The sequence below is a fragment of the Homo sapiens genome, chromosome 9 (genome assembly GCF_000001405.40).
Source record: "Homo sapiens chromosome 9, GRCh38.p14 Primary Assembly".
Taxonomy (NCBI): domain Eukaryota; kingdom Metazoa; phylum Chordata; class Mammalia; order Primates; family Hominidae; genus Homo; species Homo sapiens.
The window spans coordinates 68,698,484-68,714,483 of record NC_000009.12 but is presented as its reverse complement, the minus strand read 5'-3'; the positions used below and the strand labels follow the sequence as shown (position 1 = coordinate 68,714,483).

General features: G+C 43.7%; 1 protein-coding gene across 11 annotated transcripts in view, besides 4 other annotated features; it reads right to left on the bottom strand.

The window, feature by feature from the left end:
* The window catches only part of PIP5K1B (phosphatidylinositol-4-phosphate 5-kinase type 1 beta), a 303,937-nt gene extending 294,693 nt beyond the window's left edge, over positions 1-9,244 (bottom strand). For 7 of the 11 annotated variants that reach the window (XM_017015189.2, XM_047423951.1, NM_003558.4 and 4 more), the window contains exon 1: positions 8,722-9,244. The gene's annotated coding sequence lies outside the window, so the exon portion shown is untranslated. Of the gene's footprint in view, positions 1-8,261; positions 8,505-8,721 lie in introns of those variants that run through there. The other 4 variants (NM_001376036.1, NM_001376041.1, NM_001376039.1 and 1 more) reach the window with 2 other exon arrangements.
* Positions 7,427-7,576: an enhancer, noted in NCBI's record as "active region_28440". NCBI's record gives its function as "activates an Ori minimal core promoter by ATAC-STARR-seq in GM12878 lymphoblastoid cells {active_cell/tissue: GM12878}" and the evidence as "EXISTENCE:reporter gene assay evidence [ECO:0000049][PMID:35858748]".
* Positions 8,027-8,116: an enhancer, noted in NCBI's record as "active region_28439". NCBI's record gives its function as "activates an Ori minimal core promoter by ATAC-STARR-seq in GM12878 lymphoblastoid cells {active_cell/tissue: GM12878}" and the evidence as "EXISTENCE:reporter gene assay evidence [ECO:0000049][PMID:35858748]".
* Positions 8,805-9,730: an enhancer, noted in NCBI's record as "H3K27ac-H3K4me1 hESC enhancer chr9:71319670-71320595 (GRCh37/hg19 assembly coordinates)". NCBI's record gives its function as "activates a minimal SCP1, AML or CMV promoter by ChIP-STARR-seq in primed H9 embryonic stem cells {active_cell/tissue: H9 hESC(primed)}" and the evidence as "EXISTENCE:reporter gene assay evidence [ECO:0000049][PMID:30033119]".
* Positions 8,867-9,386: a silencer, noted in NCBI's record as "silent region_19929". NCBI's record gives its function as "represses an Ori minimal core promoter by ATAC-STARR-seq in GM12878 lymphoblastoid cells {active_cell/tissue: GM12878}" and the evidence as "EXISTENCE:reporter gene assay evidence [ECO:0000049][PMID:35858748]".

Sequence of the window (16,000 nt, the reverse complement as noted above, 5' to 3'; positions counted from 1 at the left end):
GAGAGGTTCTGGCTCAGTCCTGCAGAGAGACAAGAAGTTGGGCTAGGATAGAATCCGCACAAATGATGAGAAGCAGATGGAATGGGAAAGATATTCAGGAAGCAAAATCAATAGACATTGGTGATGGATTAGATGTGGTGTGTGCAGAGGGTGGAGCCAAGGATGGCTCCCAAGTTTCTGATCGTGCTACTTGGTGACTAGCGGTGCCCACCACAGAGCTGGGAACCTTGCAGGAGTATCAGATGTGGAGAAAACAGATCATGATTCTGGTTTTGAACATGTAGAATTTGAGGTGCCTTTGGGATATCCAAGCGCAATGTCAATTATGCAAACTAGAGTTCAGAGAAAGACTTAGTTTGGAGATATAAATTTTAGATTCGCTTATGTTCTCCTTTTTAAAACTCTTATTTCAAAACTGTACTTTGAGGTGCTACACCATGAAACAGAGAAAAAGAGTATGGGCTTCATAGTCAGAAAAGCCAGGGCTAGAACCTTTGTGCCATCCCTTACTGGTTCTGTGCTCTGGTACAAGTTACTACTAACCTGACTAGGTTTCCCTTTCCTTCTCTTCAGTGAAGAAATGCTGCAGCTTGGAAGCACATGGTGATGAAAAGAAACAGCACTTGAGGAGTGCCTGGAACAGAGTAAGCTCTCAGCACAGTCAGCCTCCTTGACAGCCAGGACCATGTTTATATTAACACTTTCTGTATACCCCATAATACCCATCACTTGGCAGGCTCTGTGACTACCAAAAGCTTTTTTATATTGTATCTAAAGTCCTAGATACCCAATCTATTCACAATACTTTGCTCTCCTGTGATCCGCACAGTTCTGAGAAAAGCCAAGACTGGCAGAGGGAGAATTTTTCATTTCTCCCCTCATATTTCTGAAGGAGCAGGCAGATAGCACTCCCTCAACACATCCTGGGTTTACCTGGGAATACTGAACACTTCAGGAGGCTTATACTTGGAGCAACAGATTTACTATGTACTGGCAATATTGGGTATGCAGCAGAATCACCCGAAGGCCTGTCCTCCATCCATAGAGTTCATCTGCATTTCTTTTCTTTCTTTTCTTTTCTTTTGAGTCGGAGTTTCACTCTTGTCACCCAGGCTGGAGTGCAATGGTGCGATCTTGGCTCATTGCAACCTCTGCATCCCGGGTTCAAGCGATTCTCCTGCCTCAGCCTCCCAAGTAGCTGGGATTACAGGCACCTGCCACCATGCCCAGCTAATTTTTGTATTTTTGGTAGAGATGTGGTTTCACCATGTTGGCCAGGCTGGTCTCAAACCCCTGACCTCAGGTGATCCACCTGCTTCGGGCTCCCAAGGTGCTGGGATTATAGTTGTGAGCCACCGCGCCTGGCCTCATCTGCATTTCTAACAAATTCTCAGGTAGTGATGACTCTGTTGGTCTAAGGACTGCACTTTCAGAGTCACTGCCCTGGCTTCTTCCATGGTATTGGGACTGTTGATGTAGCTGATGTTCAAATAAATACCAGCTCAAATACCACCTTTATGTGAGGCATCATAGGAATTGCCTTGTATATGAACACCAAAGTGTCTTAATTAGGAATGAATATGTTTATGATTTAGGTACATTTAGAGCCCATTTTAACAGTGTAGCAACGTTTTGTTTTGTGCTTGATAATTTCCTCTTCTTTGTTCACTACTATTCATTTCTAAGTAAATGGAAGAAATCAGTCTTTAAATAGAGACAGTGTTTTCTTAATAATCATGCCAGAATTTATCATCTAAACAAGTGGTTTTCTCATCCTAAAGGGTTCGGTCATCATTGTAAAGGAGCTGCCATAGCTAACACGTAAGCACTGTCCTCTCAGTCTGATTCAGCTTGAGTAACCTAAATGATGGCCCACTTCATCTTGACAGGATGGATGGGGCTTATTCATGTATTCATTTAAATATTTACTGAGGACCTACCATGTGCCAAACACTAGAAAAACAGTGTTATGAACCATGGCCTCTGCCCTCAAAGAGTTTATAATCTTGGGTTGAATGTGAGTTTGGACACAGGGAAACAAGTGAAATACATAAATGAATAAGTATCCGTGTTAATCTGTTTTTGCATTGCCATAAAGGAATACCTAAGGCTGCATAATTCATAAAGAAAAGAGGTTTTATTTTGGCTCACAGTTCTGCAAGCCGTACATAAGGCACAGTGCCAGCATCTGCTTCTGGTGAGAGAGGGCCCCAGGAAGCTTACAGTCATGGCGGAAGGTGAAGGGGGAGTCCATGTAAAAGAGGGAGCAAGGGAGGGGTAGGAGATGCCACACGCTTTGAAACAACCAGATCTCATGTAAACTCATAGAGCAAGAGCTCACTCATTACCATGGGGAGTGTACTAAGCCATTCATGAGGGATCCATCCATATGACTCAAATTCTTCCCATCAGGCCCCACCTCTAGCATGGGGAATCACATTTCAACCTGAGATTTGGAAGGGACAAACGTCAAAACTGTATCAGTATCCCTGTGACAAGTGAACAAAACATATGGAGAAGGTCTCCTTTAGGTTGGAAGAACAGAAAAGTCGCCAGGAGGAGGTGATATTTAAGCTGATTAACTTAGAGAAGCTTAAAGTCCATTCTTGTCTCTGTACCCTGAACCAAACTCACTATTAAGCCACTCTGGGCATTTGAGAACTACGCTTACTGAATACTTTCAAATAAAAACAGAATATATTTAGTATTTATTTTTCTCCTAAAGAAGATAAATAATGCAAAATTATTCCTAGGCATTTTGGTTAAAAAAGTTGTAGTCTAGTGAATAAATATAATTTATGATTTAAAAAAAGGACTACTATAAACTATCAACATTAGCATCTATCAGACTGCCTAATATTTCTAAAATGGTTCGAAAAATAATAGAATCATTAGAATAATTATGGAACATCCCAAGATTTTGAAGAGTGATATTCATTTGGATATATAAATTGTTCAGTAAACACTCATTAAATCCTCACCACCTGCCAGACACAGTGCCAAGTTCCAAGAATACAAATATAAATAAAACATGATGCTTAACCTTTTCCATTGTCAAATATTTGCTGAACACCTATGATGTGCTTACTACTCCCTCAAGGAGGTCGTTGCATTGCTTTTTAATTGTTGTTGCTGTTTTGTTTCCTTACTTTATTACCAAACATATGATCAAGTGATCCAGAGAGCACAATGATGGGCATGGTTTAAAAAAGAAAGAAAAAAAGTGTATATTAAATTAAAAGCCCACTATGAAACATGTCGAATCCACTGCATGTCTTAAGTCTGTCTACGAAGCAAGGAAAGCACATTTTTATGGCTCGCTCTAATTTTATCCTCCCCCACAAACCCCTTGCTCAGCATGACTGAATGGTGAAGGCTTAAATATCACCTTTTCTCTTACAAACTGAATGAACTTTCTGCAGTCCTGTCTGAACTTTAGTTCCAATTCAAGATAATTATAATCTCTGGACCCCTAGTACTTACAATTCCAATCCTTGCCTGAACTTCCACTGAAAGACATACACACCCATTTTAAAACCAGGAGCAATACCAAACCCTCAATGCTTTATATTTCATTGCAATTTCACAATTGATTTTCTAAAAACATTAGAGAAAATGAGTCTCAAGAACTTACTGTGCATCCATCATGTAAATTACCCAAACATGTTACATATTCATTGTTTATTGAGTCCCATAAACAATACAGAAGACTTCCTACAAGAACACACACTTCATGTTGTTTATTCCAGTGCTAGTTTGTTTTAACTTAAAATGATAATACCAAGGCACTGTCAGCTTACTGAACATGCAACCTTGTCCCAATCACTCTGTTTCAAATCTTTCCAAGAGTAATCTAGTTTGGGCAGGATTCCTGTGTTTTCCTGTGTGATTATCTCCTTTATATACCTCTGATGAAGCGATACAGAAGTAAATACAATTGAGAATAGAATGTACAAAAGCAAGCCTGTTTTCCCTGACCTAATCTTATATATGAAAAGGAACCTGACTGAATACAATTCTCTGTCAATAGCAGCTGATTGTTTACGACACAGTACCCCAAAAATTTCATCATAAATTAAGTTTAAAGTTGATTTTTAAAAAGAAAAAAAATAAAACAGAAGCCTAGGTTTCCTCCCACCCCAGTTCTCTGGCACTCAGCAAAAAGTAACACATCCTGCTCTATTGATAAGACCACAAATGAACAGTAGAGCTACATAATGTACAGTTCTAACTGGCCAGCTTCTAAAAAAAAATGAAGGATTCCTTCCAACTCCCATTAATGCACTTGATACAAAGAGAACATGTTTCAGCAACAAATACATTTAGGACTTGATGTTTTACAGAATCTACTGAAGGCTCTGGCCATAGGGGGAAAAAAAAATTTCCAGGATATTAAATGTTCTGACTCACCATCTAACAGAAGTACAAGCAAAATGCAAATGCAAATTGAATGTATACATATTTATGACTTTACCAGCTGCATGACAAGGCTACCTTTGGCTTCTGGCTTTATATATCAGGAAGAGAAGTTGAGAATACCAGCATACATTTGTGTTTCTTTTCCTTTCTTTTCTGAGACAAGGCCTTGCTGTGTCACCCAGGCTAGAGTACAGTGGTGCGATCATAGCTCACTGCAACCTTGAACTCCTAGGCTCCAGTGATCCTCTCACTTCAGCCTCCCAAGTAGCTGGGACCACAGGCACGTGCCACCATACCCAGCTAATTTTTTATTTTTGCATAGATGGGGTCTTGCTATGTTGCCCAGGCTGGTCTCAAACTCCTGGGCTCAAGTGATTCGCCCACCTCGGCCTCCCATGGGATTACAGGTCTTTGGTTTCTATTTGAACAGTTTCCTCTCTCCCAGCACTGATTGGAGCAAAGTATTATTTCTGAGTCTGGTGATGCACATAAGCCAGAAGAATCATAGTGAATAGATAAAAACAAACATTTTGGCCGAGCACAGGGTCTCACACCTGTAATCCCAGCACTGTGGGAAGCCGATGCCTGTGGATTGCTTGAATCCACGAGTTACAGACCAGCCTAGGCAACATGGTGCAACCCTGTCTCTGCCAAAAATACAAAAATTAGCCAGGCATGGTAGTGCGTGCCTGTTGTTGCAGCTACTCAGGAAGTTGAGGTGGGAGGATTACCTGAGCCTGGGGAGGTTGAGGCTGGAGTTGGGCCACTGCACTCCAGCCTGGGAAACAGAATGAGACCTTGACTCAAAAAACAAAAAAAAAGTAAAGAGAAAAAAACATGTTATTTTTAATGGCATCTGCTTGGGCAAGAAAACTTAAACATATAAATGCTAAACCATTTTCAAATGTACTAACTCTCTAATAATGATAGTAAACAGAAGTTTTCTGTTAATCTCTATGATTTCTAAAAGTCAAAACTGTACCTTCACCATAGAACTCCTGGGACAAACTCAAATATGAACCTTCTTAAGAATTCCACATTGATCTTGGTCCTCCTGCTATCATCTTTGTGACCATAAGTAAGTCAATTCACCTAAGTTTTAGTTTTCTTACCCATAAACGGTACTTCTAAACTAATTAATATTTAAATTCTTTATCAGAAGGAAACATACATCAATCCCCAATGTAAATTGCAGATCCATTAATAATATTTAAGATCACTATATTCTTTCTTATCATTCTTCCAAACATAAAAACACTACTTGTCTGTATATAAAGAGGAGGAGTAGAAAGAGAAGATTGTTAAAAGGAACAGAAACTAGGTTGGTTTTGTTAACTAGGTTCCCCCTCTGAAACCACGAGACAGTATTAGCATCTCCTGAAATTTATTCAATACCCTGTTTTAAAAACAGAATGGTTGGTTTCCCCATGTCAAGACATACCCTTTCATAAAATGGGACAAGTCAATTTCTAGGAATGTATCTTTCAGCAGCTGTAATACTAACAACTAAAGGGGCGGGGGGGCGGCAAACAAAAGAGCATAACATAGATGACATGAGTCTACTGTCTAGGGAGAAAGAAAAGCTCTTCCCTATATGATGCCTTCAGAAAAGAGAGCAACAATGGGCTCTGTACCCGCCAGCTTCAGGAGGCACATGCCTGTAGGCAAATTATCTTATGTGTTGGGAATTTACATGGTAAGATGCTTTCTATGTTTTACAGCATATGTTTTCCTTATGAATGACTTCATTCACCCCCTTCATTAATTCAACAGCTATTTACTGAGCACTTACTTTATGCAAACCATAAAGCTAAAAAAAAAAAGTTATGAGCTTACAATTAGAATATTCAAGTAAGCCCTGACATGTACCTTACAGTACTTTAACCCCTCAGAATATTTTCAAGTCAAACAGTAAACTAAACAATATACTGTAGATGTTAAGCTAAAACGCACTTGTTAAGTTTCATTCCTTTGATGAAGTGGCATGTAGTAAAGGGGGGAAGGGATAAACTAAAGGTGAAAGAGTAATTAGCTAGGTCTCTTAGGTGATGTGGGGTACAAAGGTCTCCTTCCTCTAGAGAAAATGATAACATTGGATTACAAACACATTGGTAAACATCACAAAATGCTAAAGTTGGAAAGAAAAAACATAATTTCATACAAACGTTTTGTTTTATATGTGAGACACTTGAGACTTGGAAGTGATATGATGGCCCAGGTCATACGGCCAAATGTAGTCCCAGAACTAGAACCCAGGTCACTGGGGGCATGCTTAACAGTCCTTTGTGTATTGCAGTTTCCATGATGTGTCCTCATTGCTATCAGAACTGAAATGATGGCAGAATACACAAAGCAATGGACTGGACATCAGAAGATCCAAGTTCTAGTCTTGCAAATGCCACTAAATGAGATGTAAATCCATGGAAAACTCCCACTGCTTGTCTAAACCTCAGTTTCCTCATCTGTAAAATGTAAACAGTAATTTACAGTGAGACTATGCAGACCACAATAAATGCAGAAGAACTCTGCCATTTAAAAAACCACCTTATATAAGTACAGAGCAGGCACCTGGTTATGACAGAAAACCTAACTGTGATTCTAATACCAGCACTTGTTACCTTGATAAATCTCTGAATCTGTGAGCCTCATGTTCCTTCTGTGTTTACATGGTAAAAAGTCTTTGCCCTGCCTCCCTCAGAAATGTTTGGAATTAGGTGAGAACACTCAAAAGAATTTACAAATTGCAAGACACTGATGCAAATGTAAGGTGTTATTATTAAATCTCTCTAGTCTTAACGTGGACAAAAATGTAATGTGGTTCTATCATTTAGTGCTTCACAGTTTTCCTTCTCAGGTAAGATGTCATCATACATCAGTCTCAAACTCACCAGCTTTCTCATCAGTCCTCATAAGTCTCTGCCCACAGGACCATATCAGAACCACCGTTTCCCTCCGCTCAGAGATCACACATGAAACTCACTCAACCTCCCACTGGTTTACACTTGGCCGATTAAGGTTTTTTCCCAGCGTCTCCTTTCAGCTGGGAATGCTCTAGCAAAGCTTCCATGAACACTACCCTACTTCATCACATTAGAGTCCTAATGAAACCCATCCTTACTTCATCACATTAGAGTCCTAATGAAACCAATCCTTTCGCCTTTCTCCACTCCAACAGCTGCAGAACGCTTCAGTCTCTTCGCAGAACAGGGGAGAAGTCTCTGGCTGAATGTGCTTCATTAGAGGGACAAAAGGGGTTCCCCAAACCGAGACTCAGAAGTACTGACACAGAGACCGCTTCTTCCTTGCACGAGATTAACACATTCTGAGGTCCTACCGGTCCCTTAAGGATCATTCCCCTTAAAGCTAGGGCCTCCTGCATCTGAGAATGTCACAGAGAGGTAGTGATGATAGTGGGTGTTATTTCTGATCTGTAACACGCTCCCTTTAAAAAAGCATCAGAGTAACTAGGATTGCCTTGTTCGGAGCCCTGATTTCAGTAGATTCGATGAAAGAATTAATCAATCTACCCAAATAACTTCTCCGGAATAGGTTTCTACTCAGCCACGCTGGGCACCAGACAAGAGAGCTGGGGGTTGGGGGGGATAAGAAATGACAACACGCTCATCTGCATAGATGCCAGATAAGCAGACATTTGTTTTCTTCTGTTCTGGCGACTCCTGGCACCGGCATAGTAAATCAAACCCGGGCATTCTCCCTCCCCAGTGCCCCTACACTCCCAGCCCCTGCCCCAGATGTTGAAGCGTCACGTTGACCAGGCTGGGGGAGAAAGCCTGGGAAACGCAGAAGTCTGTTGCTGCATTTAGACTGGAACCATACCGCACCTGTTCAATCCGGCACCAGCGCCAGAAATGAGCAGAACACCAACTCGCAAGCCCCTCTTGAGATACCAGGGCGCCTAACAAGTTCACCGCTGTTTCGTACCGGGGGAGGGTGGTGGGAGACCTTTCCTTCCGCTGCCAAACTCTGCAGGTTCCCCGGAAAAGGGGAGAGTACTCCTATTTAAGTGAACCCAGAGTGATCTCCGAGTGTCACTGCGGCCCCGGGGATCCGGGTGACGAGCGGGTGGGTGTCCGTTGGGAGCGCGCAGCTGTGGCCCCCGCGGAACGAAGGTCCGCTTCGGTGGCCACGGGCGCCCTCTCCACGTCACCCCCAGCACAACGCAGACAGGCAAAGTGGAAGGGTAGAGAGACCGACGGGTTTCAGCAGAGATGCAGAGCCCCTAAGCGCAAGCCCCTCAGAAGGGTCTAGTGGGAAGGGGCCGGGGACGCACAGGAAACTTACCTCACCCGGGCAGCATTCGGGTGCCTCCGCTACCAAGACCAGTTGCGCCACAGTCTGCAAGTTATCGGGACGTTGTCGCTTCCCCACAGCGAAGGGAGAGCAGTGCAGGCGAGGGGCGGGAGGGGCGGGAGGGGCGGGAGGGCGGAGGGGGCGGCGGGCGGGGCCGGGGCCGGGGGCAACGCTGAGGGCGGGCAGGTGCCGGGGCTGGAGCCGCGGGGCCAAACTCGCTCCGGACGCGCCTTGGCGGGGGCGCGCGGCTACGAGTGTGCAGTGCGCGCGCGCCGCGGCGAGTGTGTGTGTCCCCGCTTTCCCCTTCCTTCCCCGCCGGTCCTCCGGCCAGACGGAGCAGCGAGCGGCCGCCAAAGCCCAGCAGCTCCGAGCGGCTCCACTGCCGGGCGCAGCCTCGCCGCGGCGCGTTCGGGGACCGGGAACCGGGGACCGAGAGGAGCAGCAGCGGCGCCCGCCGGGCTCGGGCGCGGGTTCCCGCTTGGTGCGCGCCGGAGTCGGAGCGAGGCGCAGAGAGAGCCGGCTGCGCGGCGGCTGCCGCGGCTGGGGAGGCTGCAGGCCCCGCCTGCCGGCCGCCCAGGCTCTTCCCCTTTTCTCTCCACCCACTTGCCCCATCCCCGCAAGCCCTGCAGCGAAGGCAGACCGGTTTGCAGCACCTGCCGCAACAGCGGCCGGAGCTTCAGCCGCAGTGGGCTGGGCGTCTCAGCCGGTGTGTGGGGACCGGGCGCCTGTCCCGCCGCCGCTGGCCCAGACTGAGAGCGGGGTTGGGGTGGGCCCCTGGAATTGGCGGGTGCCTCCAAGACTCCAGGGGTTCCCGGCCGTTCTCAGCGTCTTGAAGCCCTGCGAAACAGGGCTGTGGGGATAGGGCGTCCCCTTTCCCCAGGCCACAGAACTCAGCTACGCCTGGTCGCCCGCCTGCTAGACTCTGCCTGAGGCGGCGAAGCCGGCACTTGAGCGCAGGCGCCCCCTTCACGAGGAAGGGACAGGCCAGGATTCCAAGGCGTTGGTTGCTCCCATTCTAAGGACAGCAGGTGTTCCCAGCAAGTAAGACCTACCCAACAGGTAGGGGTAGGCTGGCGAGGAGGTCCTAGGAGAGAGAAGCTGGGGGATGTCATGGGAAAGCGCTGTGACGGGGCTGAGGGCCAATTCCTACTGATAGCGCTTAGTGGGCTGGGGGCACTTGCAACGTCACCTGATGTCAGTCTAGCTGCGAAGAGGGTAGGGGTCAGATCTAAAGGACTCCTTTGGGAAAATGCTATCATGAAAGCTAAAGCTAAATTCACTTAATAGGAACCAAAAGGTAGCGGATCCTTCGCGGCTGAATTGAAGCAAATGGTATTTTTCAGCCTCATCACTTCCTTCCACTTACCCTTCTTTACCAAAAACAACGCCGGTGGAAAACGTGGGATACATTCTGTCTGGGGAATAACAACATTTCATGATCCTTATCTTCAGAGATCTCTGGCTTCCAGTTTCTGTTTGAAGGATACTCCCTTAGTTCTCTGCAAATGAACACCTCTTTTCAGTTTTGTAATCTCTTTGTTTCTCTCACCCCCCACCTTGAGTGAGTCTGCTATGGTTTAATATCAGCCTTGAATCAAGTGCAATAATTTCTTGATAACAGAAGTATCTATTTTTTTTTAGCTTTACTGAGCCATAATTGACAAATAAAACAAATATCTGTTATTCTTCAGCTGTTTTCCCAGCCTGCTTCTTGCAGATGTGGCTGGCCATTACTGAGAGATTTAAGGTATGGTTTGTTTAGAACCCTGTGACTTGGGTCTGGTTTTCTCCTGGCATCCTAGACGCTTCACAGCTCAGAGCAGGAGGAACATACATCTAGTCCAGCCCTCCCGCTTTACAGATGAGGAAACTAAGGTCTCAAGACATTAAGTAACCCAAGGACCAGAACACAGTTTCCCTGACTCTCAATCCCTGAACAATAACTAGCAGAAATATTGTATTAACAAAGTTCAAGATGGGGTGGATAGACCAGTGGTGGAGGACAGAAGAACCGATCAAAGAACCGTTCATCTGACTGGTACGAATCACTGTATAGGGGGCAGCATCATACCGCTGTAACTAGCAGGCTAGTTTGGAATCTGGGAATGGTAATCCCAGTCTCTCCTTTTCCTGCTTCTCAGACTTCAGCTATGAAATCCAGAGTGGAAAATGAATTTGCCTCCCAGGGAGGCGGTGGTAAGTGAAAGTGCAAAGTCAGTTTCTGGTAATGCAGGGGAGATGAAGACAGGTAAAGCCAAACATTGGATCAAAAGTGATCACGCATTACGTATAAATGTCCAAATACATGTATCCATACACATGACCCTTTTCCCATTAATGAGCCTGGTATTGAGCCACTTCTGTAAAGCCCAAAAGCAAACAGCCTTAGGTTTTCAGAGAGAAGTGTCCAACCAGACTGCCCACTGGCTATTTAGAGAGCTAACTTTATGAAGCAGGATTCTAAGGAACTCTACCAAGAGCCTTACGATTGCATTATTACTGTGAATTGATTAATGGAATGAATGACCATGTAGTATGAGACCTGGTATTTCTTCCTGATTCTATCTCCAACTCTATCAACAGGGATTTAGGAAAGTCATCCTGTATTGGAAATAATACAACAACATCAATATCATGAGCAATAGTGACTTGGCCAGAAATTCTGGAAACCTATTTAAAAATCAGAAAATATTCATCTAATTATTTTGCTTAATTTTAAATGTAATTTTTTCAATTGATTCCTGACCTCAGTCCAAAACTTTAATAATGCTATTGAATACTCCTCTAACTATGAGAAACATGCATGGGTTCCTAGTAGTACATTTGATAGTATTAGTGGCCCCCCAATAAATGACCTCCTTTTTTCTCCAAGGTCTTTCCCTCTAACCTTGTAGTCCACTCCTATTCTGGGCCCAACCGTATGATTTACTTTGACCAACAAGACAGTAGCCGGCTTGATGTAAATGAACGCTGGAAAAATGTTTACACATTTCTGTTTCCAGTCTTGGAATTCTGACATCACCAGAATAAGCCTGCTGGAAGATGAAAGACCCTGTAGAGCAGAGCTGAGTCATAACAGCTGAGGCATCCTTGACCAGTCAGCCCTCACTTGACTGTGGAGGCACAAGCAAGTCTGAATGAGATTGGCTAGGCTTGGTCCAGATCACCAGAACCACCCTCCCAACTCATAGATTCATGAGAAACAATAAATGGTTGCTGTTTAAAGCCACTGTTTCAGATATTGATTGCTGCTTAACAAACAATCCCAAAACTTAGTTGCCAAAATCATCAGTCATTTACTATTTTTCATGATTCAGTGGGTCAACTAAGCCTAGCTGAGTATTGCCTAAGGTCACTCATGGTTTTTTTGTTTGTTTTTGTTGTTGTTGTTGTTTGTTTGCTTGCTTTTGAGACAGGGTCTTGCTGTGTCACACAGGCTGGAACAGGCTGGAGTGCAATGGCATGATTACAGTTTACTGCAGCCTTGATCTCCTGGACTCAAGCAATCCTCCCACCTCCGCCTCCCAAGTAGCTGGGACCACAGGCATGCACCCCAACGCCTAGCTAATTGTTTTTATTTTTTTGTGTGGAGATAAGGTCTCACTGTGTTGCCCAGGATGGTCTCAAACTCCTAGCTCAAGCAACCTTCCAACCTCAACCCCTAAAGTGCTGGTATTACAGGTATGAGCCACTGTGCCTGGCCTAGGTCACTCATTTGACGGCATTCAACTGGCCACTGGCAGCCGGACTGAATTGGAAGGTTCAAGAAGGCCTCATTCACATATCAGGCACCTCAGTTCTCCTCCACATGACCTCTCTCTGTCCATCCAGCTGGCTTGGGCTTCCTCCCAGCAAGGTGGTTAGACTTCTTCTATGGCATCTTGCTTCCAAGAGGGAGGAATAGAAACTGCCAATTCTCTTAAGGGTTGAGTTTGGAAGTTCTAGAATGTTATTTCTGCTTCAGTCTATTGGTCAAAGCAAGTCACAAGGCCAGTCAGATTCAAGAGGAGGGGAAATAGACTCTGCCTTCTGACTTGAGGGGTACTGTGTTATGTTCAGGAATAAAAGAGCTGATAGCAGCCATTTTTTGAAGACTACTTCATCCACTACGTGTTTGGGTGCTTTGTGACACCACATCAGATCATCGATATATTCTTCTTAGCTACGCCACTTTGAACCAGTTACACATTCTTTCTGGACCTTTCTATGAAATGCCGGAGGTTGCATTTCTCTAAGTTGCTAATGCACATTTAGCATTTTTTTTTTTTTTTGGTGATGTCTCAAGAGCAACTGAAGTCCAATAAATATTCAGAGGGAACTTGAGGAACATTGGTGAGCTATGGATAGTTCCACCTGTTCATCTGTCCTTTATTTTTTTTCCAATGAGAAAAAAACAGGAATCCAGATGAAAGGCATGCATTGCATTCGTTGACATTGAAGAGTAGAGAAGTAGAGCCAGCATCCTTCCCAAATCTCTAGGGACCATCCTCCTGCCACATTGCCCTCTCTTTCTAGAAACTTCATGTCTAAGCAGACAAGAAAGGCTAAACGCTTAGCTGATGCCCCTGTATAACTTGAGACACTAATTTCAGAGGACCAGTTTACCCTGGGAACCTTACATTCAAGCAAAGGCTTGACAACCTCATATGCATCGCCTTCCTTTTCTTCTTAATTCCCTGTACCCTCTTCTCTTTCATCCAGCTTTGCTTTCTTTTTTGCTGCCTTTTTTCTTTCTTTCTTTCTTAATCCTATCCATCCCCTTGTTCCTCTTTCCTCTCAGGATTGGAAAGAGCATTGAATTAGGAGCCGTAAGACCTGGTTTGTCACTCCAGCTCTGTCCCCACAACAGTGAAATCTGCATTCTTTCTTGGTGGCAGATTCCTTGTCTGCACCATGAGAGAGTTAGACAAGATGCTCTGAAAAGTCCCTTACATGCCTAACATGCCAAAGGAATGTTCCTTCTGCAATACATTTAGTGCCAAGGCTTGGAGGAGTTTGCATATTAAAGACTCAGAACCCTTTAGAAGAGGTGCACTTGTATCTTAAGCCTTCATGAGTGATTTACAATACCTCTCAGTACTTTTTTCTTGAGTTTTTAAAAGCTAGAATATATGCAAATCTACCAGACACATGTCCTATTTAACTTACTGTTCTTTGCCCAGAGGTTGGTATTATCTAGCTCTTCTCAAAACTCATTGATGTTTACATTCAGCTAAGAACAATAAGAAAACTGGAGGCCCAGTGTTAGCAGGCATACAGGTCTGACCCTGGAAAAGTTCTCCAAAATACCTGGTGACCCATCTAGGAAGCAGGAAGAAGAGCTAAGCAATGTGCGCCTAAAATTTCATAGCAAAAACATAAAATTATATATATGGAGATTATAATTATGTAAAAAATAATGCACATGAACGATAAATACCTGGAAAAGAACAATGTTTAAAGTTCTCATGTTAGGGTGGGAGAATTCTTTTTTTTTGTAATATTTTTGTCAATATTATTTATTTTTCATCCTCAGTAACCGACTCAATAGCTGTATGAAGGTAACAGATAAGCTTGATCTAGAGAGCACATGTGAAGTTTTTGTTTTTTGTTTATACTTTAAGTTCTAGGGTATATGTGCACAACATGCAGGTTTGTTACATATGTATATATGTGCCATGTTGGTGTGCTGCACCCATTAACTCGTCATTTACATTAGGTATATCTCCTAATGCTATCCTTCCCCCCTCCCCCCACCCCACGACAGGCCCCCATGTGTGATGTTCCCCTTCCTGTGTCCAAGTGTTCTCATTGTTCAGTTCCTACCTGTGAGTGAGAACATGTGGTGTTTGGTTTTCTGTCCTTGAGATAGTTTGCTGAGAATGATGGTTTCATTCCTACAAAGGATGGTTTCATGTCCTACAAAGGACATGAACTCATCCTTTTTTATGGCTGCATAGTATACCAGGGTGGGAGAATTCTAAGGTTTAAAAAAATTGATGTTATATTGTTTCTAACATTAAAAATATATATACACCATTAAGAATACCAGTCTAATTTCCACCAGCCTGTATAATCTATTTTCTTTTGAATTCAGTTACTCCTTTTCTCTTTAACATTTTTTCTCGTTACAAACTGACCCACATACATACTTTTTTTAAGGTGAGTTTTCACTTTGCCCACAAGTTACAAAAACAACATGAACCAAATAATGATTGATTCGAGGAGTGAACAAGAAGCAAGAGAATATCAGAATGGAGGAGAGAAAGGACAAAAAATAGAGAATTGCCGGGATAGCATAGAGAATCAAGCTGCATTTCAGAAAGATTCTTAAAGCATGCAAAATTTATACACACATTTTCTATATCAAGTCTGAACCTGGGTTTTAAGGAAGTTGAAAGTCATGGCCTTGATAAGGGAGAGAGAACCGTCGCGCCACCCACCCCCACCCTGCCCCGCTTTTTGGTTGGAGAGGCCAGTTTTAAAGCTTGAGGTAGAGGAAAGAGGCAGAAGTGAGTCAGCAGTGTTCCTCAACACACACCAAAATAATTATTGCAATCATTATACCATGAGTATCGAAACAACTTTCCTAAGGTCACAGAAATTATCTCTGGAACCAGGAGTCAAACCCTAGGCTGCCATTTTATCCCCAGAGCAGGAAGTGATCAGCAGAATATGCCCAGGGGTCTTCATGATTGAGCATAGATTTTTCATGCTCAACCCTTCTTTGTTATAACATGCAAAGTAGTTTGTTTTCTACCTACTCAAAACATTTTTAAAAAATCCTCATCAATTATGAAACATTTGACATCAAATTAGTCCAAATAAAAGGGTGACTGGTCTAGGAAGAATACCAAGAAATGATGGTATTTCAGCTCCTGGGATGGCTGCAAAAGAAGGAAAGGTAATGAATTCAACAAAGTCACTCAAACTTCCTAAGTAGAGGCAGTAGCTGTCTGCCCAAGACATAGCTGACACCTTCCTGGGGCCATTTCAGGGAGGGCTCAGTTGCTTACAGTGGACGAGGCAGATCCTACCCTGTGTGGAGGGAAACTTCCAGGGCAAAGACTCAGACTTTCTCAGCTTTGTTTTGTGAAGGAAGGTAGCATGTGTGACACTGATGACACCACAAACACTTGTTGAACAGACATGCATGTTAACGTTAGTCAACCAGTGAAGTCCACGCTCAGACGCTCAAGCCCTCTGTGACACTGTGCCATGTGAATACACTGGGAAGACACATTGATTTTCACTTTTATTTCTCAAAACATTTAGTGACTCTCCTGACTTG